This window comes from Homo sapiens, chromosome 16, assembly GCF_000001405.40.
Source record: "Homo sapiens chromosome 16, GRCh38.p14 Primary Assembly".
In the NCBI taxonomy this organism is placed as follows: domain Eukaryota; kingdom Metazoa; phylum Chordata; class Mammalia; order Primates; family Hominidae; genus Homo; species Homo sapiens.
In genome coordinates, this window is record NC_000016.10 from 89,195,599 (window position 1) to 89,217,655 (window position 22,057).

Here is a 22,057-nt window from a genome sequence, read left to right on the forward strand (position 1 = left end):
GCAGGAGGCGGCCGGGGGCTGCCACTACCTGGACAGGGGCTATGGAGCAGCCGCTGACACCCTGGCTCCTTGCTGGTGAGCCCAGAGGTGGGGAGCAGGCACAGGTGAGACCCTTCCAGGCCCCAGGTGTGGCCTGAGGGAAGAACCAGGGAGGACGCCAAGTTCCACAGAAGCCTTTATCCTCCACACCTACTGGGTGTGGCTGGGGGGAGACCCAGGGCCTCCCAGTGCCTGGGGCCTGGCTGGAGACACCTTCACGCTGTCCCCACGGCTCCACCTGCACTGAGACACGGGCTTCTGAGAGGAATGTGTCTGCCCTGGACCAGACGTCTGGGGTACTCAGCCATGCCCCAGGCCTTGACTTTGGTCCCATCCTGGCTCCCAGGGCCACCAGGCAGGACTAGTGCTGCTCGGGGGTGTGGCCGGCCCAGTAGGAGTTGGAGGGCGGCAGCAGAGGCAGGTGGTCCTGGCGGGGGCGGCCCCGCAGGAGTGGGGAGCGGCGCAGGCGGTCGGCGTCCTGCAGTGACTGGGGCAGCCCCCGGCTTCGGCTCTCAGGCAGCAGCAGGACACACAGCAGGGCAAGGACAGCAAGGGAGGCGAAGACGACTTGTTGCAGGAAGAAGCCCTGCCGGCCGTGCAGGGTGTCCAGGGGGCCGGCTGCCTGGCCCAGGAACCCGGCCCCCAGCACCAGGCCCAGCCCGGCCCCCCTGTGGGACAGAGTGTGTTGGGGGCAGCCAGCCTCCTGGCCCAGGAACCCGGCCCCCAGCACCAGGCCCAGCCCGGCCCCCCTGTGGGACAGAGTGTGTTGGGGGCAGCCAGCCTCCTGGCCCAGGAACCCGGCCCCCAGCACCAGGCCCAGGCCGGCCCCTCTGTGGGAGAGAGTGCGTTGGGGGCAGCTGGTGGGGCAACAGATTGGGGGACACACATGTGACTCCAGAGTGAGCAGGGGGAAGGCCCGGCCTCCGCACAGCCTAAGGTTTGCTGGCTGAGGATAATTTGAAAAATTGTTTTGGAAAAACCTCCTTCCTCTCCTGGAGCACTTTTTGCTCTGTTCAAGACTGGAAAGTGGCCGGGCACAGTGGCTCATGCCTGTAATCCCAGCACTTTGGGAGGCCAAGGCAGGCGGATCATGAGGTCAGGAGATCGAGACCATCCTGGCTATCATGGTGAAACCCTGTCTTTACTAAAAATACAAAAATTAGTTGTGCGTGGTGGTGGGTGCCTGTAATCCCAGCTACTCAGGAGGCTGAGGCAGGAGAATCGCTTGAACCAGAGAGTTGGAGGCTGCAGTGAGCTGAGATCACACCACTGCACTCCAGCCTGGTGACAGAGCGAGACTCCATCTCAAAAAAAAAAAAAAAGAAGAAGAAGAAGATCGAAAAGTGATGCTTTCCCCGAGAATTCTGCCATTTCTGGAGGCCTCCTCATCTCTGCCCCCACCCCGCACTCCTGGCTTCAGGCCTGCGTGGCCTTCCCTCCCCTTCCCAGTTCCTGAGCCGTCTGCCCAGAGCCTTCTGTGAGCAGTGGCCCCCACCATCCAGGAGCAGGGCAGTGCTTTACCCCGAGTCCTTACTGGATGGAGGAATCACAGGCAGGAACCTGGGTGGGGTATGGGGACAGGGCCTCCTGTCCACCTGGCCCCTCCTCCCCATGAGAGGCCCTGGACCCTGCTGTGTGGCCGGGCAACCCTGAAGCTCACCTGATCACCGTGGGGAAGACCTCGGCCGCGAAGAGGCTGCTGAGTGCGGACACAGCCCGGGAGGCCAGGAGCCCCAGGACAGAGAGGAACAGCACAGTCCAGCCTGGCAGATCTGGGGACAAAGAACAGGGGTTCCCAGGCTCTCTCCCCAGGCCTTCCACCCTGGCCACTCAGGGCCCTTCCCCAGAGAACCACACCACTGTCTGGGGACCCACTTTCCAAGCCTCCTTTTCCAGCCCCCCTGAGAAACCTGGAGGGGGAACCTGTCCTCTGCAGCCTGATTCCAGCCTGGCTTGGATTCTAAGGATGTTAGAATCCTGACCCCGAGCCGCAGCCACACCGACCACCTCCACTCGGGCCCACGCTCAGCTACTGCTGTGCTGTCCACTGTCTTTGCAATTTCGAGAACCGTCCTAAAATCTCGAATACGTTGGAAGCAAGGCCTGCATTTCATTTTGCACCTAGCTCCACACACCATGTGGCTGGCCCTGAGTATATGGGCCCTCCCACACCAGTCCATGGCCGGCCTCGGCCACCTGGAACTCTGGGCAGAGCTTTTACCCAGCCCGGCCTCTTGACCTCTCATGCCTGTGCTGCACTCTGTGGCTGGGGCAGGTGTTTTAGGCTCAGACAGTTTCCTTACTTTAGGCCAGTCACAAAAGATCCTTTTGGGCCTTCCACAAGGATCAGAGGAAAACAAACAGCAGCTGGCCTTGGGCTGCCACCCCAGGCTGCTCCCCTGTCGGCACTATGGCCCCCTGGTGTGGCAGACCGTCGGCCCAAACACAATGGCTCCTGTATGGCCTGCGGGGCCCCAAGCTCACACTGGGCCCCAGCGAGGAGCAGCAGGGATGCCAGGCCTGTGACCATGGTGCCCAGCAGCAGCACGGGGCGGCGTCCACAGCAATCTGCCGTCAGGAGCAGGAAGACCAAGGCTGCCGCCTCCAGGCCGGCCTCCAGGAAGTAGGGCAGGTAGAAGGTCGGCACCTGAGGTGCCAGGCTGCGGCGGAAGCTAGCTCTGATGCCTCCACCAACCAGCCTGGGAGAGAGAGCAAATCTATGGGCCCAGCCAGAGCCGGGGACTCTGGGGACCATATGCCCACCCCGGGGGATGGTGCAGGACCCCAGCCCTTCCTCGACTCACGAGCTGAAGCCCAAGATAAGCCCGTTTCTCCAGGTGACTCGGGTACGCAGAAGCCCCAGTGGGGAGTGGTACCGGGGCTGGGGGCTCCGTGCAGACAGCATGGTCAGCTCTGTAGCCGCAGAGATGTGAGGGGAGGGGGGTGAGGAGCTGTGCCTCTCCGAAGCCCTCCTCCAGTACCTGAATCTCCCTCCTCCCTGGTAGGCGCCTGACCTGTAGCCAGGGAGTTCTCCTCCAAGGAACTGTCCCCGGGGCCCACGCCACTGGCTTCTGCAAAGCGCCACAGGATCTTCCTGGCTCGAGCTACCTGACCTGTGGCCAGCAGCCAGCAGGGAGACTCGGGGAACAGGGCCGGGAACCTGCAGCGTTGGTGAGGATGCCCACGGCTCCCTCCACCTCCTCCTGGAAGGAGAGGCAAAGGCCAGGGCCCCCACCCCACCCCCAGGCTCAGGGGCAGGACATCACTGTAGTTCTCTGTGACCCTGTAACCCATGCGTTTACCTGGCATGGGATACGTCGGTGCAGAGGGAAGCTACATAGTCAGCCCCGATGAGGGCTGCTGGCCCAGCTCCCACCACACTTACCCCCAAAAGAGCAGCAAGAGTCCACTCATCAGGGCACCCAGCCCCTGCAGAAGACGCCAGTCCTGCACAAGCGCAGCCAGGCCGGGCAGCAGCAGGGTGCCCACCACCGAGAAAAGGCCAGCCCCCATGGAGAAGGCCAGGCGGTGGGGAGGGTCACACAACTCCAGGCCTGGGCAGACACAGACAGGTTGAAGTGGAGGCCTCGGGGAGGACTGGAACAGTTCCATTGGGAACTGCGGGGACCTATTGGTGACCTGCCCAGGAGCGGGATGCCCAAGGGACTCACTGCTCACTGTCCCTGCAGCTCGGGGCCCTCGGCAAGGGAGCCTCAGAGGCCTGCGGGCCACCCACTGCCCCTCCCCCAGTGACAGCAGCCCCCAGGGTACTCACGAGCCAGATACAGGGCGAGGAGGGCCCCTGCCAATGTGCCCCCGTGGAGTAGGCGCAGGACCAGCAGGGTAGGGAAGCTGGCAGCCAGGGCCTCACTGGCCCCCAGGCCTGTGGTCAGCACCAGGGAGGCCACAAAAACTGCCCGGCGTCCAAACCTGGTGGGCAGCGGGGGACATGCTTGGACAGGGTCAGGATAACCCAGGGTCCAACCTTCATCCTGGCAGCACCAGGTCTAGCTGAACCCTGAGAGTGGGCGGAGGGGAGGGCTGCTGGGCAGCAGGAAAAGGGAAGGGGCCTCACCGGTCACAGCCTGCTCCCAGGATGACACAGCCCAGCAGCCAGCCCAGGAGGTGGCTCACCTGCTCCAGCGGGACCTTCCAGCCGTCTCCACACACAAGGTTCCACTATGGGGAACAGCAGCCACGTGGAGGCCAGCTCAGGACCCTCCCCTGGGGACAGGTGCAGGGAGTCCCAGAATGGCTACTGGAAGGGGCCCTCCATGTCCTGCTCAATCCCTCCGTGGAGAGAAGGGGAAACTGAGGCATGAGAGGGCAAGGGGCTTGGTCCAGGTCACACAGCAGCCTCTCTGGTCTCCGGCAGCCCCTGCACAGGGGTCGGGGGGATCTGCCCACCCTAAGTTTTCTGCTTGTCCCTAGATAGGGCCTCCCCCACCTCCGCACACCATTGCTCTTCCCCCACGGCCAGCTCTTGTCCGACCCGTTTCCACCTCCTATTCCGAGGGACCCCGGGGACACCCAGGGCCTTGGTGGCGTCATAGACACAGCCCCCACCCCAGCCGGCCAAGGGTCATAGCCATGACACAGGCCTAAGAAATGAACCCCAGCACCTGCGCTGGTACCCACGCCCTCCCTGCCCTGCCCATTTCAAGAGGGACTCGGGCAGCGGCTGGAGAGCTGTGCTCAGCGGCATTTCCCGGTGAGGCCCTTGACCCTTGACCTCAGCTCTGCGCCTCCCCCCACCCCTTCCGGTTCCTGGGTCTTCTTGGCAAGCTTAATCTACTGCTGGGGGCCGTGCTATGCCCGAGATTTTACTTTCAAACCTGACGTTTTGGGAAAGCTGATGGGGCATTCCTGGATCCAGGCACCAAACAGGAGGAGGGCAGGTGGGAGGTGGGAGGGAGCAGGGTGGAGAGAGAAGCCCGGCGGGTTCCAGGGCCCCAGGCAGCCCTTGTGAAGATGTGGCAACCCCGTTCCAGTTTCCACACTGGGGCCAGTCCTCCCAGGATGGGGGATGGGGGCCTCGGGGTAAAGGCTGCCTCAGGGGTGTGCAGGTCTCAGCCCCAGCGCGGAAAGGCATGAAAGGGGCCTGGAGGTCCCTGCCGCCCGCCTCCCCATCTCTTCTCACGCAGATCGTCAAGGTTTCCCTTCAGGCAATGCAGTCTCTAGCCCAGCCTCTGCGCACCTCACTGATGGGAAGCCCACCTTCCCCAGTCTGTGCTGACCACGTCAGTCCCTCCAAGCAGAGACTCTGCCTTGGAAAGCCAGCCCAAAGCCACGGTCTGCTGAAGACGCTGGTGGTCCTGAAGCAAATTCCAGGCCCTGCTCCCCCACCGGCGCCTTCGGCTCCAATCCTCCAGCGCCCCAGGCCGCCCCGCGCCTGGCAGCTCCCAGGCCCAGATTCAGCCCCCGCCCGGCCCCTCTCCGCGGGTCCGGCCCGTGCGCGCCCGTCTGCGGCACCGTCGGGCCGGCGGCCGCCCCGGAGCAGGAAGCCCAGGAGGACGGCCGGGGGGCCCGGGTCAGAGGCGCCAGGTAGGATGGAGAAAGGACACCCAGGGCCTCGGCGGGCTGGGGGCGGGGAGGGCTGCGGGGCAGCAGGGACGGGGGCGCACCTGGGTGACCGGGCTTTGCAGGAGGCCGGCGCCGGGCAGCGCGTAGAGCCAGCCGCGTGTGCAGGGCCGGGTGCCGTTGCGTGCGGGCGCGGGGCGCGGGCCCGGGGCGGGTGCAGGGCGCGGGATCGGGGTAGCGCAGGAGCAGGCAGGGGCTCGCGGCTCGCGTGGGCCCCAGGCGCGGGATGGCGGCGTCCAGCAGCGCGGGTCCGCGCAGGGCGCGCAGCGCTGGGGGCAACAGCGTGGGGTCCGGTCGGCAGTGGGGCGCGGGCTGCGCGGTAAGCAGCTCCTCGGAGCTCAGCACCAGCCCCAGCACTATGCAGGGTACCCACGAGGCGGAGGCCAGCAGGCGCCGGGCCCGGCCAAAGCCGCCCGCAGCTCTCAGCACCCGCGCCTCCTGCTCCATCGGTCGCAGGCTGCGCTCGGGACGGGGCGGGGCCTGGACCAGGGCGGGCTCCTGGGGCGGGGCTTTGGGGCGAGGCATTAAGGGGCGGAGCCTGAGTCCAGTGGAGGCGGGGTGTGGGGGCGGGCGGTGTGAGGGCGGGGCCTAAGGCGTAAAGGGGCGGGGCCCGATCTGGGGCATAGGGCGGGGAGGTTGAGGGGCGGGAAGGTTGAGAGGCGGGGCTTGCGGCCGAACCGCGAGGGGGCGGGGCCCCGTGAGGGCGGCACGTGGGGGCCGGGGGCGTGGCAGGGGCGTGGCCGGGAGCGCTCAGGTGCCCTCGCGGCGCAGGTGCACTCAGGTTGCCCGGGGGCGCGCGGGCTCCGGCCGGCGTCCCGGGGTGGTCCCCGCGTGGGGCCGGGGGCGTCCGCGCGGGCGGGGCGAGGTCGGGGAGGGCAGCCGCCCGCCCTCCTCGGCGCTGGGAGCTTTCGGCTGGTACTGCGGGAGGAGCTCCCGGGTGACCCGCGGGTTCTGAAACCGCCGCTCGGGAGCTCGGGGCCTGCGCTGCGTCTACGGGGCGAGCGAGGGAGAACTGACGCCTTTCGCCCGGATCCTTCTCCCCTTCCGAGAACCAGGTAGGTCGCGTTTATTTTCAAGTCCGACTGTTTTCGCGGTAACATTTGTGGGAAACATCACGGTGGATCCTGTGGGTCGCTGAGTTTTCTGACTCCCGGTTTGTCTTATTTTGCTTTGTCAGTGGGCTCTGCGCTCGCGTTAACAATTCGAATGGGCACGTTTCTGCGTTTCAGAACGCTGTTCGCTTCCTCACACTTAGATTGAGGTGGAACTCACGTCACATAAACCGGGTCGCAAGGCTCAGCTCAGCGGGGCCCCCCCAACAGTGTTGCGGGACCAGCACCTTCTCGGGCTCCGGAACAGCTTCTACCCGAGCAGAGCCCGCCCGTCGGCGGCCGCTCTCCGCGCCCCTCCAGGGCCCTGCAGCCCCCGCCCTGCTCCGCGGACCAGCCTGTTCTGACCTCCGTTCAATGGAGCCCTACGTGCTGTGGCCTTTTGTGTTCCGGCGTCTTTCGCTTAGAATCGCGTCTTCAAGGTTCGTCCCCGGTGGAGCGGGGATCAGACCCGCGTTCCTTTTCAGGAGTGAATAATATTCCGTGGATGGAGCCCACACGTTTCTCTCTTCCTCTGTTGATGGACAGTGGGTTGTTTCCACTTTTTGCCTTTTGCGTCCAGTGACACGATGAACATTTTCGTACAAGTATTTGGGTGCCTGTTTCCATTTATCTTTGGTGTATACCTAGGCATGAATAGCTGGGCCTTAGGGTGTGAACTGTTTGTGAAACCGCAGAACGGTTTTCCGCAGCGGCGGTTCGATTTCACCACCAGCAATACAGAAGGGTGCTCGTTCCCCGACATCCTTGCCAACACCCATGTTCCGGTTTGTTTCAGTTATTTTATTGTGATAAAGCACAACAAAATGTATCATCTTAACCATTTTAAGTGTGCAGTTCAGTGGTATCAAATACATTCACACTATGGTGCAGCCGTCACCCCCATCCAGCTCCTTAACTCTGTTCACCTTGTAAAACAGAAACTCGATGCCCGTTACATAGTAACTCCCCATAGCCCCTCCTCCTCGCCCCAGGGAACTAGCATTCTGTATTCTGTGTGTGATTTTGACTAAGCTAAGTATCTCTTAGAAGTGGAATCACACGGCATTTTTCTTTTTGTGAACGGTTTATTTCATTTGGCATAATGTCCTCAAGATTCATTCATATCTTTCCATATGTTAGAATTTCCTTCTTTTTAAAGGCAGAATAATACTCCATTGTATGGATATGTCACATTTGGTTTACCCATTCATCTGTTTCTGTAAACTAGGTTGCTTCCACCTTTTGGCAATTGTGAATAATGCTGTTATGAACATGAAATATAAATATCTCCTTGACACCCTGCTTTGAATTATTTTCAATGTATATACCTAGAAATGGAATTGCTGAATCAGAGGGTAGTTCTATTTTTAACTTTTTCAGGAATCACCATACTGTTTCTACAGTGACTGCACCATTGTACATTTCCAGCAGCAAGGTACCGATTTCTCCCATCCTCACCTACATTGTTATTTTCTGGGTTTTTTTGATGGTAGTCATCCTAATAATGGGTATGGGATGGTATTTCATTGTAGTTTTCATTTGCTTTTTCCTAATGATTAGTGATATTGAACATGTTTTCATGTGCTTATTGGTCATTTGTATATCTTCTTTGGAGAAATATCTGTCCAAGTCCTTTGCCCATTTTTGAATTGGGCTGTTCCTTTTTGTTGTTGTTGTTATTGAGCATTAGCAGTTCTCTCTTTGTTCTAGATATTAATCCATTATTATATATATGATTTCCAAATATTTTCTCCCATTCTGCGAGTAGCTCTTTTACTGTGTTGATATTGTCTTTTGATGCACAAAATTTTTTCATTTTCATGAAGGTCAGTCTGTTTTTCCTTTTCTGGCATGTGCCTTGGGTGTCATATCTGGGAAATCATTGCCAGGTCTCGTGTCATGAAGCTTTTGCCCTATGTTTGCTTCTAAGAGTGTTATAAGTTAAGGTCTTACATTAAGGTATTTGATCCGTTTTTAGGTAATTTTTGTATCTGGTGTTACGTAAGAGTACACCTGCATTCTTTTGCATGAAGATATTTCGTTTCCCCAGCACCATTTGTTGAAAAACCACTGTCCTTTCTTCATCGACTGGTCTCGGCACCCTTGTCAAAAATCGTTCGACCATATTGAGGAGTGTTCATTGCTGGGCTCTCTATTCTATTCCATTGGTCTAGATGGCTGTCTTCATGCCAGTACTACACTGTTTTGATTACTGAAGATTTTTTTTTTTTTTTTTTTAGAAAGAGTTTCACTCTTGTTGCCCAGGCTGGAGTGCAATGGCGTGATCTTGGCTCACCGCAACCTCTGCCTCCCAGGCTCAACCAATTCTCCTGCCTCAGCCTCCCAAGTAGCTAGGATTACAGGCATGCGCCACCACGCCTGGCTAAATTTTGTGTTTTTAGTAGAGACCGGGTTTCTCCATATTGGCCAGGCTGGTCTCAAACTCCCAACTTCAGGTGATCCACCCGCCTCGGCCTCCCAAAGTGCTGGGATTACAGGCGTGAGCCACTGCACCCAACCCAATTACTGAAGATTTTAGGTGAGTTTTTTCTTTTCTTTTTTCTTTTTCTCTTGGAGACAGATTCTCGCTCTGTCACCCAGGCTGGAGTACAGCAGTGTGATCCTGGCTCACTGCAACCTCTGCCTCCCGGGTTCAAACGATTCTCCTGCCTCAGCCTGCCGAGTATCTGGGACTACAGGCACGTGCCACCAAGCACAGTTAATTTTTTGTATGTTGGTAGAGACGAGGTTTCACTGTGTTGCCCAAGCTGGTCTCAAACTCCTGAGCTCAGACAATCCACCCGCCTCAGCCTCCCAAAGTGCTAGGATTACAGGCATGAACCACTGTGCCCGGCCTGAAGTAAGTTTTGAAATCGGGAACTGTGAGTCCTCCAGCTTTGTCCCACGTAGCTGGGACTACAGGTGCCCACCACCACGCCCAGCTAATTTTTTTGTATTTTCAGTAGAGACGGGGTTTCACCGTGTTAGCCAGGATGGTCTCGATCTCCTGACCTTGTGATCCGCCCAGCTTGGCCTCCCAAAGTGCTGGGATTACAGGAGTGAGCCACCGCGCCCAGCCCAGCTTTGTTCTTTTTAAAAATTATTTTGACTATTTGGGGTTCCACAAGGTTCCATATGAATTTTTTTTTTTTTTTTTTTTTTTTTGAGACGGAGCCTCGCTCAGTTGCCCAGACTGGAATGCAATGGCGCGATCTCGGCTCACTGCAAGCTCCGCCTCCTGGGTTCACGCCATTCTCCTGCCTCAGCCTCCCGAGTAGCTGGGACTATAGGAGCCCGCCACTACGCCCAGCTAATTTTCTTGTAGTTTTAGTAGAGACGGGGTTTGACCGTGTTAGCCAGGATGGTCTTGATCTCCTGACCTCGTGATCCGCCCGCCTCGGCCTCCCACAGTGCTGGGATTACAGGCGGGAGCCACCGCGCCTGGCCCCCACAGTGCTGGGATTACAGGCGTGAGCCACCGCGCGCGGCCTATGTGAGTTTTTAAATGAATTTTTCTGTAACAACAATGTCAGTGGGACTTTGATACGAATTCCCTATCAAAATGTTTTGATAGAAGAATTAATACTGTTTTGAATTAATCAAAATTGATTGCACTGAATCTGCAGATTTATATGGGCAGTGTTGACATTTTTAACAATATTAATTCTTCTAATCCATGAACATGGGATGTGTTTTCATTTGTTTATGCTTTCTTTAATTTTTTGTAGATTTTTATTGCACAATTCTTTTACCTCCTTGGTTAAGTTAGTTATTAAGTATTTTATTATTTTATTATTTTATTATTTTTCTTTGAGATGGAGTCTCGCTCTGTCACCCAGGCTGGAGTGCAGTGGCCGCCATCTCGGCTCACAGCAACCTCCGCCTTCCAGGTTCAAGTGATTCTCCTGCCTCAGCCTCCCGAGTAGCTGGGACTACAGGCACCTGCCACCAAACCCGGCTAATTTTTTGTATTTTTAGTAGAGACGGAGTTTCCCTGTGTTAGCCAGGATGGTCTTGATCTCCTGACCTCATGATCCATCCACCTCGGCAGTATTTTATTCTTTTACTTTTATTTTTTCAGATAGAGTCTTGCTCCGTCACCCAGGCTGGAGTACAGTGGCACCATCTTGGCTCACTGCAACCTCTGCCTCCCGGGTTCAAGCAATTCTCCTGCCTCAACCTCCCAACTAGCTGAGATTACAGGCGCCTGCCACCATACCTGGCTAATTTTTTTGTATTCGTAGTAGAGATGGGGTTTCAACATGTTGGCCAGGCTGGTTTTGAACTCCTGACCTCAAGTGACCCGCCTGCCTTGGCCTTCCAAAGTGTTGGGATTACAGGCGTGAGCCATCACACTTGGCCAAGATGCTATTGTGAGTAGAATTATTTCCGTAAATGCTTTTTTAGATTGTTAATTGATAGTATATAGAAATGCACTGGTTTTGCATTTTGACATTGTATCCTGCTACTTTGCTGAATTCATTTATTAGTTCGAACACATTCTGTCTGTGTGTGTAATCTTCAAGGATTTCCCGTATATAAGATCATATCCTCTGCGAACAGATGATTTTACTTCTTGCTTTCCAATTTGGGTGGCTTTTATTGTATTTTCTTCCCGAATTGCTCTGGTCAGAACTTCCAGTACTATGCTGAGTCCAAGTGGTGAAAGCCAGCAACCTTGCCTCGTTTCTTATCCTAAAGGAAAAGTTTATTCTTTCACCATTCTGTAAGACGGTTGCTTTGGGTTTTTCATATATGACTTTTTTTTTTTTTTTTTTTTCTTTTCGAGACAGAGTCTCGCTCTGTCGCCCAGGCTGGAGTGCCATGGCGCGATCTTGGCTCACTGCAATCTCAGCCTGCCAGGTTCAAACGATTCTCCTGCTTCAGCCTCCCGAGTAGCTGGGACTACAAGTGCCTACCACCATGCTCAGCTAATCTTTTGTATTTTTAGTAGAGATGGGGTTTCACCGTGTTAGCCAGGATGGTCTCAATCTCCTGACCTCATGATCAGCCCACCTCGGCCTCCCAAAGTGCTAGGATTACAGGCATGAGCCACCACGTCCGGCCTATTTTGTTGGTTTTTATGTTAATGTTCGTAAGGGATATTAGTCTCTAGTTTTCTTATATCTCTGACAGGCTTTGGTGTCAGAGTAATGCAAGCTTCATGGAAAGACTTAAGAAGTATTTCGTCCTCTTAAGTGTTTTGGAAGTGTTTGAGAATTTTTAACATTAAATCATCTTTAAACATGCGGTAGAAGTCACTAGTGAAGGCATCAGGTCTAGAGCTTTTCTTTTTTTTTTTGAGACGCAGCTTCACTCTGTCGCCCAGGCTGGAGTGCAGTGGCATGATCTCAGCTCACTTCAACCTCTGCCTCCCAGGTTCAAGCAGTTCTCCTGCCTCAGCTTCCCGAGTAGCTGGGACTATAGACGTGTGCCACCATGCCTAACTAATTTTCTTGTATTTTTAGTAGAAATGGGGTTTCACCATGTTGGCCAGGCTGGCTTTGAACTCCTGACCTCGCATGATCCGCCCGTCTCGGCCTCCCCCAGTGCTGGGATCACAGGTGTGGGCACGGTGCCCACCAGGGCTTTTCTTTATCAGAATTTTGACTAGTGATTCTACTTCCATACTACTTACAGGTCCACTCAGATTTCTAACTTCTTCCTGATTTAGTCTTGGTATGTTTAGCGTGTCTGGGAATGTGTTCATTTCATCTGGGTTATACAATTTGTGTACGACTTTTTTCATAACACTCTCTTGCGGTCTTTTTATTTCTGTAGAATCAGTGGTAATGTCCCCACTTGGATTTCTACTATTGGTAACTTGAGTGTTCTCTTTTTTCTTAGTCCATTTAGCAAAAAGTTTGTCAATTTTGTTGATCTTTGCAAAAAATCAACTTTTGGTTTCATCCTCTATTTTTCATTTCTGTTATTTTTGTTCTAATCTTTTATTATTTTCTTATTTCTACTAGCTTTGGGTTTAGGTTGTTCCTTTCTGGTTGTTTAAGTTGATTTGAGATATTTCTGTTTTTGTTTTTTTTTGTTTTGTCTTGAGATGGAGTCTCGCTCTGTCACCCAGGCTGGAGTGCAGTGGCGTGATCTCGGCTCACTGTAACCTCTGCCTCCTGGGTTCAAGTGATTCTCTTGCCTCAGCCTCCCAAGTAGCTGGGATTACAGGCGTGCTCCACCACGCCCAGCTAATTTTCGTATTTTTAGTAGAGATGGGGTTTTACCATCTTGGCCAGGCTGGTCTTGAACTCCTGACCTTGTGATCTGCCCACCTCGGCCTCCTGAAGTGCTGGGATTACAGGCGTGAGCCACCGAACACCCAGGCAAGCAAATCTCTTGAACCTGGGAGGCGGAGGCTGCAGTGAGCCAAGATCACGCCAGTACACTCCAAACTGGGCAACAGTGCGAGACTTGGTCTCAAAAAATAAAATAAAGAGGTTACTTATTATTTATTTATTTATTTATTTATTTATTTATTTATTTATTTATTTATTTATTTTTGAGATGGAGTCTCGCTCTGTCGCCAGGCTGGAGTGCGGTGGCACTATCTCAGCTCACTGCAAGCTCCGCCTGCCGGGTTCGTGCCATTCTCCTGCCTCAGCCTCCCGAGTAGCTGGGACTACAGGCGCCTGCCACCACGCCGGGCTAATTTTTTGTATTTTGTACTAGAGACAGGGGTCTCACTGTGTTAGCCAGGATGGTCTCGATCTCCTGACCTCGTGATCCGCCCTCCTTGGCCTCCCAAAGTGCTGGGATTACAGGCGTGAGCCACCGCGCCCGGCCAATAACCTCTTTAATTTGTGTGTCATTAAATATGGGTAAATACAGCTGCCAGCAGCCTCCAAGTGGCTGCTCTGGGTGCCCTGCCTGTTGATTGGACTTGCTCTGCAAGGAGCAGCCACTCTCTGTACATGGAGCAGCCACTCTCTGTGCATGGAGCAGCCACTCTCTGTACATGGAGCAGCCACTCTCTGTGCATGGAGCAGCCACTCTCTGTACATGGAGCAGCCACTCTCTGTACATGGAGCAGCCACTCTCTGTGCATGGAGCAGCCACTCTCTGTACATGGAGCAGCCACTCTCTGTGCATGGCTGCTCAGTAAAGCCGCCTCTTCCACCGCTGCCTCGCCCTCGCATACTTTCTGGGGTGAAGTCAAGGACCCTCCTGGGCCAAGCTGCAATTTTGGGGCTCAGCTGCCCTACATCACCTTGGCGGCCACAAAGGGATGAAGAGAAGACAGTGAGAGGCAGAGAGGCGGTGATTGGCAGGGCAGCAAATGACGCAAGGTGGCGGGTCAGTGAGAGACAGTGACCAGTGCCATGGCCATCAAAGCTGCAAATATCACGGCTGGGACAGTGGAACGCTGTGACACTGCAGACCTGTGACACTAGCCACAGGCTCTTTCAGGGGCCATCGTCTTTCCTGACAGGTGGCGGAGCCGAGTGGACAGGCAAGTAGCCACAGCACCACCTCGTGTGAGACCCACTGCTCCGATCGGCTGGTTGCAGAACCACACGCTGCTCCCCTCCTAATGGCTGAACCCCTCCAAACCAGGGAGACCTGGGGGAGACCGGGCAGTGCCATTTTGGCTCCTGTGGACAGGTAAGTGTCCCTGCTGTGTGTTCTGCCAATATTGGGTGAGCCAGGATCACCCCCGCCCTTCCTTATTTGCTGCTCTGAGATCCCCTTCCCTGCCTCACCCTGTATTCCACACCCATTAGAGCAAACAAAGTTTAGCCAGGTAGAGAGGTCCCAATTTTGTAAATAACTTGGATCCAGCTCTCTTATTTAGGTTGCTTTGCTTATGTGATGTGTGTTATGTCTAGCATGCTATCAGATTGGCTGATAAATAAAAGGGCACCCATAAACTAAACAAATGAACGAAAGAAATAAGACCACACACCCAAAGAAGATCAAGTACCATGGCCACATGCCATGGCGATGACCGAAAGTGACCTTACATGGTTCTGGAAACTCCAGAAACTCTAGAAAGTTCTAAAAAGTCCCTTAATTTGCATATAATTAAAAGTGGGTGTAAATACAGCTGCTGGCCAGGTGCGGTGGCTCACACCTGTAATCCTAGCACTTTGGGAGGCTGAGGCGTGTGGGTCACTTGAGGTCAGGAGCTCGAGACCAGCTCAAGCAACATGGCAAAACCCCATTTCTACTATAAATACAAAAATTAGCCAGGCGTGGTGGTGGGCACCTGTAATCCCAGCTGCTCAGGAGGCTGACACAGGGGAATCACTTCAACCCAGGAGGCGGAGGTTACAGTGAGCCAAGATCATACCACTGCATTCCAGCCTGGGTGACAGAGCAAGACTGTCTCAAAAAAATAAATAAATACAGCTGTCAATAGCCCATCTACAGTTACTCTGCGTGCATTGCCTGTGGGGTAGCCGTGCTTTGCAAGGAGCAGCCACTTTCCATACATGGCTGCCTCTGTAACCCTGCCTTCTCCTGCCCCAGGCTCACCCTTACATTCTTTCCTGGGTGAAGCCAAGAACTCTCCTGGGCCAAGCCCGAATTTGGGGCTCACCTGCCCTGCATCATCTTGGCAGAGCTTCAAAATTTGGTATTTTCCCAGTTCTCCTTGCTGCTGTTTACTTCTCAGTCTTCAGTGACCTTTTCCATACATTCTGTCCAGGTTTGGTGTTGTATTCAGCGGGAGAGATGAGCGAAGTATACTCGCTTGCCCTCACCTGGAACGCATTACTGAGGCCCTTCACTGTGGTTGTGACTCACACACAAGCTGCAGTTTGGGGCCAGGCTGCCATCTGTCACTCTGTTATGCTGAGTATCAGCAGAGCCTCCAAGGACTCCCTCCACCCTGTCTTGAGAGCCCTCAGCTAAACTGCGTTCCAGTGACAGGCAGCTGGCAGCCCTGCGCTCATGGGAAACAAAGGGGCTGGACATGGCGTTTGCCATGCACCTGTGACGGGATGCAGCTTTTACACGGTGGAAGGCCCAATGCCTCATTGTCCAACCTGCGATCTGGGGTCCATCCCATGGGGAATCTGCTCATGCTGACAGATGCCCCGTGGCTCTTGTCTGACCTGTGTCCAGCTTGTGCCTGCCTGACCATGGCTCTGGCACTGGGAGCCCGCCCTTGTATCCCCCCTGCTGCCCCAGGTCTCCGGGAAAACGCAGACTGGGCACCCCCTGGCCCTTCCTGTGGAAGGCGCAAATTCAACTGCTACAATAGGAAACACGTTTAAAGATTTATTACCTACAGACCGTGGGCAGGGTGGAGTCCAGGAGTGGAAAGGTTAGTCCTCTGTCCCTAGGTCCCATGAGGGAAGAGTGGGGCAGAGAGAGCTGCAGGGGAGGGGAGCAGGGTGAGGGAGTGTGAGCCACAACCTCTCAGGTTCAGGGAATTCTCCTGTCTCAGCCTCCTGAGTAGCTGATATCACAGAGGCCCGCCACCATGCCCAGCTCATTTTTTTTGTATTTTTTTTTTGGTTTTTTTTTTTTTGGAGACGGAGTCTCACTCTGTCGCCCAGGCTGGAGTGCAATGGCGCGATCTCGGCTCACTGCAAGCTCCGCCTCCCAGGTTCATGCCATTCTCCTGCCTCAGCCTCCCGAGTAGCTGGGACTACAGGCGCCCGCCACCACGCCCGGCTAATTTTTTGTATTTTTAGTAGAGACGGGGTTTCACCGTGTTAGCCAGGATGGTCTCGATCTCCTGACCTCGTGATCCGCCTGCCTCGGTCTCCCAAAGTGCTGGGATTACAGGCCTGAGCCACTGCGGCCGGCTTTTTTGTACTGTTAGTAGAGACAGGGTTATACTACGTTGGTCAGGCTGGTCTTGAATTGCTGGCCCCAAGTGATCCTCCCGCCTTGGCCTCCCAAAGTGCTGGGAATCCAGGCATGAGCCACCACGCTCAGCCCTATGTTGATTTTTTAACATTAAGAATGTAAAGAAATAACTCAGTTTGGACATCAGAACTGAACAGAATGTCATCTTTAGAGGGCCTTCCCTGTCCCCTTCCTTTCCACCTTGTTCTCATCCTACCATCCTTCTCAACCTGTGGGTTATTATTTTCTGAATAATCTTATCTGTATTTCCTTGTATTCAACATGAAGAGATAAATATACATGTATATTTTATTGTCTATTTTCCTTTTATTATTTTTTTGAGATGTAGTCTCCTTCTGTCGCCCAGTCTGGAGTGCAGTGGCGTGATCTCGGCTCACTGCAACCCCCACCTCCCAGGTTCAAGCGATTCTCCTGCCTCAGCCTCCTGAGTAGCTGGGACTACAGGTGCCCACCACCATGGCTAGCTCATTTTTGCATTTTTTGGTAGAGACGGGGTTTTGCCGTGTTGGCCAAGCTGGTCTCGAACTCCTGACCTCAAATGATCCGCGCCTACCTCAGCCTCCCAAAGTGCTGAGATTACAGGCATGAGCCACTGCGCCCAGTCTATTTTTCCAAAGAAAAGGTTTCCTACTGTAGCTACTGTTTTGTAGTTTACATTTTCTTTTTTTTTTTTTTTTTTTTTTTTTGAGACGGAGTCTCGCTCTGTCGCCCAGGCTGGAGTGCAGTGGCGCGATCTCGGCTCACTGCAAGCTCCGCCTCCCAGGTTCACGCCATTCTCCTGCCTCAGCCTCCCGAGTAGCTGGGACTACAGGCGCCCGCTACCACGCCCGGCTAATTTTTTGTATTTTTAGTAGAGACGGGGTTTCACCGTGTTAGCCAGGATGGTCTCGATCTCCTGACCTCGTGATCCGCCCGCCTCGGCCTCCCAAAGTGCTGGGATTACAGGCGTGAGCCACCGCGCCCGGCCTGTAGTTTACATTTTCACTTAATAATGTATCTTGGAAATCACTCCATAGGAGCTCATAGAGACCTTCATCTCCATAGCTGCGTAGCACTCCACTGCTGGAGGCACCATGCTACACTCAGCTACCCGACTGCTTGACTGCAATTGGTCGTCTAAGGCATTTTTGAATTGTTAAGAGATTTGCCTTCAGGGAAAATGTTGAGAAGTAGGATTGCTGGATTGCACCTGTAGTTTTGTTGGATGTTGCCAAATTCTTCTCTGTTCCAGGAGGATGATGTGCCCCAGTGATTCCTGCTTCCTGAGATTTATACCTCTGTGTAGTCCTCTTATATCATAGTAGGGTTGGTCTCTGTGACCAGCAGAATATGACAGAAGTGAGGTTAAAGTACTTCCAAAATTAGCTTTAAAATACCACGCACAGGCAGGGTGCGGCGGCTCACTCCTACACCCCAGCCCTTCGGGAGGCCAAGGTAGGAGGATCACTTGAGGTCAGGAGTACAGCCTCGCCAACATGGCGAAACCCTGTGTCTACTAATAATACAAAAGTTAGCGAGGCATGGTATCACGCGCTTGTAATCTGAGCTACTGGCATGGCTGAGGCAGGACAATTGCTTGAACCTGGGAGGTGGACATTGTAGTGAGCCAAGGTGGCGCCACTGCACTCCAGCCTGGGCAACCGAGTGAGACTCCATCTCAAAAAACATAAATTAAAAAATGAGGGCCGGGCGCAGTGGCTCACGCCTATAATCCCAGTACTTTGGGAGGCCGAGATGGGCAGATCACAAGGTCAGGAGATCGAGACCATCCTGGCTAACACAGTGAAACCCCGTATCTACTAAAAATACAAAAAAATTAGCCGGGCATGGTGGTGGGCGCCTGTAGTCCCAGCTACTCCGGAGGCTGAGGCAGGAGAATGGCGTGAACCTGGGAGGCGGAGCTTGCAGTGAGCCGAGATTGCACCACTGCACTCCAGCCTGGGTGACAGAGCGAGATTCTGTCTCAAACAACAACAATAACAAAAAAGAAATAAAGTGCACATATGGAATCTCAGTGGAGTTCAATTAGCTAAACCAATCTTGAAAAAGAAGGCCAGGTGTGGTGGTGCATGCCTGTAGTCCCAGCTACTCAGGATCCTGAGGCAGGAGGATGATTGAGCCCAGGAGTTCAAGGCTGCAGTGAGCCATGACTGTGCCATTGCACTCTCTCCAGCCTGAGCAACAGAGTGAGATCTTATCTCTAAAAACAAAACAAAACTATGACACAAACACACACATACACACACACACGATTATTTAGCCTTTTTTTAAAAAAAAAGAAAGGAAATCCTATGTAACCTCACATGGAATCCAAACAAGCTGAACTCCTAGAAGCAGAGAGTACAATGTTGCGTGCCAGAGGATGGGGTTGGTGGAAGGAATGGGGAGATGTTGGTCAAATGGTACAAACTTTAAGTTAAAGGATGAGTAAGATCTGGGATGTAATGTATAGCATGGAGATTTTAGTTAATACTACTATATTGTATGATGATTGGAATTTGCTAAGATAGTAGATCTTAACTATTTTCACCACACACTCAAAAGAAGGTGCCTAGCTGAGGGGATGGATGTGTAGATCTGTTTGATCATGGTCATTTCACAGTGTGTGCATACATCAAATCATCACATTGCACATCTTAAGTATATATGATTTTTTTAAATCTGTCAGTTGTACCTCAATAGAGCCTGGGGGAGAAATGGTGCTGGAGAAAACTGGATATCTACATGCAGAACAGTGGAGCTGGACCCTTACTTTATACCACATATAAAAATTAATTCAAAATGAATCAAAAACCTAAATGTAAGCGCTAATGTATAAAACTCTTAGAAGAAAACATAGAGAAAAAACTTCATGGCACTGGAATTGGAAATGATTTCTTGGTTATGAAATCACCCACACAGGCAACTGAAGAAAACTAGATGAATTGGACTACATCAATATTACAAATTTTGTGCATCCAAGGACAATCATGAGAGTGAAAAGGAAACCCACAGAATGGGAGGAAATATTTGCAAATCTTGTGTTTGCTTAAGGATTAATATTCAGTTTATTAAGAACTCCTATAACTCAAGAATAACAACAAAACCAATTTAATTCAGAAAAGGACTTATAATAAAGAAGATAACAGATGGCCAATAAGAACATGAAAAGATGATCAACATAACTAAACATTAGGGAAATGAAAACAAAAGCCACAGTGAGATCACATTACCCCGGTGGTGATGGCTCTTAGCCATTAAATAGGAGGTAACTGTTGGCTGGATGTGGTAAAGTTGGAACCTTGTGCACCTGCTCATGGGAATACAAAATGGTGCAGCAGCTCTGGAAAACAGGACAGTGGTTTCTCAAAACATCAGACAGAATTATCATGTGACCCAGCCATTCCACTTTTGCATATATATCCAAAAGTGCTGAGAACAAGGGTCCAGGATATTTTTGCACACGATGCTCAAAGCAACATTATTCACAATAGCCTGCTGGTGCCAAAGTCAAATTTTAATACATTCAGTTACTTAAAACATATCCGTGCGGTGGCTCACGCCTGTAATCTCAGCAGTCTGGGAGGCTGAGGCAGGAGGATCACGAGGTCAAGAGATAGATACCATCCTGGCTAACATGGTGAAACCCCATCTCTACTAAAAATACAAAAATTAGCTGGGCTTGGTGGCACGTGCCTGTAATCCCAGCTACTCTGGAGGCTGAGGCAGGAGAATCGCTTGAACCTGGGAGGCGGAGGTTGCGGTGAGCCAAGATTGTGCCCCTGCACTCCAGCCTGGTCGACAGAGCAAGACTTCGTCTCAAAAAAACAAAACAAAACAAAATTAAAAGAAAAAAAAACATATCCCAAGGGCAGGCACGGTGGCTGCAGTGGCTCACGTCTGTAATCCCACCACTTTGGGAGGCCGAGGCGGGTGGATCACCTGAAGTGAGAAGTTTGAGACCAGCCTGGCCAACATGGTGAAACTCCGTCTCTACTAAAAATTACAAGGTGGGCACCTGTAATCCCAGCTACTTGGGAGGCTGAGGCAGGAGAATAGCTGGAACCTGGGAGGCGGAGGTTGCAGTGAGCCAAGATCGTGCCACTGCACTCCAGCCTGGACGACAGAGGGAGACTCCGTATCAAAATTAATAAATAATAAATAAAACACATCCCAAACACTCATAGTGTTGAACCATTTAGCATGTGGTTGCTTTGTATACTTCGTGAAATTGTGTCCAATCTCTGCTAGCCATAGATAAGATAAATCCTGGGGCTCTAAAGACTGCAAGCCGTTGCTGCCCTTCAGAGCTTTGTGACTCAGACACCTGTCAGGCTGCTGAGAAACGTGATCTAGTCACGTCAGCCCTCCCCCTGTCTGATCTCCTTCTTCTCTGGGAGTTCTCTGCGCGCCCCCCGCCCACGCTCATTTTTTTCTCTTTTCTGAGTAGTGACCCCCAATTCGAAGCCTGTGGGTAATCTCATGGTGCGTGAGACTCCCTCACCCTCCAACCTGTCAAAGCTTGTGCGCCACCGCCACCTCCTGGGCACATCTTGTTTCTTAATCAGCCACGAAATCACGTGAACACTTCACATGTGGTTTTGTTTTGTTTTTCACATTTAGACTCCTGATCCGTTTGGAGTTTATCCCTGTGAGATCCAGAATTAATTTCATCATTTCTCAGACGGCTAACCATTTGTCTTAGCACCTTTCATTATAAACTGCATGTTTGTTCCACCGCTCTGAAATTATGTTTATGAACCAAATTTCCATGTTACTGGGTTGATGTCTGGATATTCCATTTGTTTCCTGTTCATGTGTCACTAGCACACAGTTTTAATGACAGAGGCTGTTTTCGCATCTGTCGGGCATTGCGCTTTTGTTTGTCCGCGTCGTCTGCGTTATGAGACATTTGTTCCTCCATGTGAACTCCAGGATCAATATGCCTGGTTCCAAAAAAAAAACCTTTTCGTATTGTTACTGGAATCATGTGACATTTCTGAATGAACCTTGGGAGAACCCCTGGTATCAGTGCTATTTTGCAACGTAGTATAGGTGGTCTTGGCTCCTACGGTACATTAGAAAAGTAACAGAAACGCATATTTGAAGCGAAAAATAGATGAACATTTACAGAAAAAAAAAATACCACATTGAAAATGCAGTGGAATCAACTGTTAAAAGTTCGGCGTGATGTTCAGACAGATAAAAAGGAACGGGGCCAGTGACTCCCTGCAGAGATCGAGAGAAGACCGAGCACTCCCAGCACCCGCGGGCTTCTCGCTGTGACCGAACCGCGGGCCGCGCTCGCGACGAGCACTTCCTGGCTGTACCCGCCCAACCGCGCCCTCCTGGTCTGTTCCGGCTCCGCAGTTGCGTCCAGAGGCCTGATCCTTACGTCCGCCTGGTCCTCCGGGCCTGTCTCTGCCTCCAGCCCGGTTCCCAAGGGCGCCCCGGGGCCCTCCCGCACCCTCGCGGAAGAAACTACTACCTCCCCGCACCATAGGCCAAAGCTTCGGCCCGGAGGCTGGAGGCGGAAGTGA

The 22,057-nt window shown here is 53.0% G+C and overlaps 1 protein-coding gene and 1 long non-coding RNA gene across 16 annotated transcripts, besides 5 other annotated features; both read right to left on the minus strand.

Annotated features, from left to right (window-relative positions):
• Window positions 163-6,080, minus strand: SLC22A31 (solute carrier family 22 member 31). Of its 15 annotated transcripts, none has more exons than NM_001384767.1 (9): window positions 5,664-6,080; window positions 4,174-4,218; window positions 3,815-3,969; window positions 3,425-3,593; window positions 3,054-3,199; window positions 2,844-2,952; window positions 2,524-2,738; window positions 1,700-1,811; window positions 163-707 (listed from the first exon to the last, which is right to left on the minus strand). In NM_001384767.1, exons 4-9 carry the CDS (start codon window positions 3,550-3,552, stop codon window positions 401-403), a joined length of 1,017 nt encoding a protein of 338 aa, NP_001371696.1. In that variant the 5' UTR covers window positions 3,553-3,593; window positions 3,815-3,969; window positions 4,174-4,218; window positions 5,664-6,080; the 3' UTR covers window positions 163-400. The 15 variants fall into 15 exon arrangements, with proteins under 15 accessions (NP_001371696.1, NP_001371702.1, NP_001371700.1 ...); NM_001384773.1 differs by having other exon boundaries at window positions 3,054-3,177; window positions 4,115-4,218; NM_001384771.1 differs by having other exon boundaries at window positions 163-550; window positions 4,115-4,218.
• Window positions 3,219-3,842: an enhancer, noted in NCBI's record as "H3K27ac-H3K4me1 hESC enhancer chr16:89265225-89265848 (GRCh37/hg19 assembly coordinates)". NCBI's record gives its function as "activates a minimal SCP1, AML or CMV promoter by ChIP-STARR-seq in naive H9 embryonic stem cells {active_cell/tissue: H9 hESC(naive)}" and the evidence as "EXISTENCE:reporter gene assay evidence [ECO:0000049][PMID:30033119]".
• Window positions 5,091-5,713: an enhancer, noted in NCBI's record as "H3K4me1 hESC enhancer chr16:89267097-89267719 (GRCh37/hg19 assembly coordinates)". NCBI's record gives its function as "activates a minimal SCP1, AML or CMV promoter by ChIP-STARR-seq in naive H9 embryonic stem cells {active_cell/tissue: H9 hESC(naive)}" and the evidence as "EXISTENCE:reporter gene assay evidence [ECO:0000049][PMID:30033119]".
• Window positions 6,006-6,095: a silencer, noted in NCBI's record as "silent region_7895". NCBI's record gives its function as "represses an Ori minimal core promoter by ATAC-STARR-seq in GM12878 lymphoblastoid cells {active_cell/tissue: GM12878}" and the evidence as "EXISTENCE:reporter gene assay evidence [ECO:0000049][PMID:35858748]".
• ZNF778-DT (ZNF778 divergent transcript) lies at window positions 19,562-22,055 on the minus strand. The gene has a single exon (NR_186410.1). It is a non-coding gene; the product is annotated as a ZNF778 divergent transcript (long non-coding RNA).
• Window positions 20,643-20,937: an enhancer, noted in NCBI's record as "tiled region #4154; K562 Activating DNase matched - State 4:PromP". NCBI's record gives its function as "activates a minimal TATA promoter and a strong SV40 promoter by Sharpr-MPRA in K562 cells {active_cell/tissue: K562}" and the evidence as "EXISTENCE:reporter gene assay evidence [ECO:0000049][PMID:27701403]".
• Window positions 21,887-21,936: an enhancer, noted in NCBI's record as "active region_11397". NCBI's record gives its function as "activates an Ori minimal core promoter by ATAC-STARR-seq in GM12878 lymphoblastoid cells {active_cell/tissue: GM12878}" and the evidence as "EXISTENCE:reporter gene assay evidence [ECO:0000049][PMID:35858748]".

Bases quoted from the DNA above. Each gene is read 5' to 3' on its own strand.
- SLC22A31 (NM_001384763.1), bottom strand. From the start codon at position 4,903: ATGCCCCATCAGCTTTCCCAAAAC. The intron at 3,200-3,424 runs GTAAGTGTGGTG...CCAACGCTGCAG, and splicing joins CTCTTGCTGCTCTTTTGGGG to GTTCCCGGCCCTGTTCCCCG. The intron at 1,812-2,523 runs GTGAGCTTGGGG...CTTTGTCCCCAG, and splicing joins GCTCCTCGCTGGGGCCCAGT to ATCTGCCAGGCTGGACTGTG.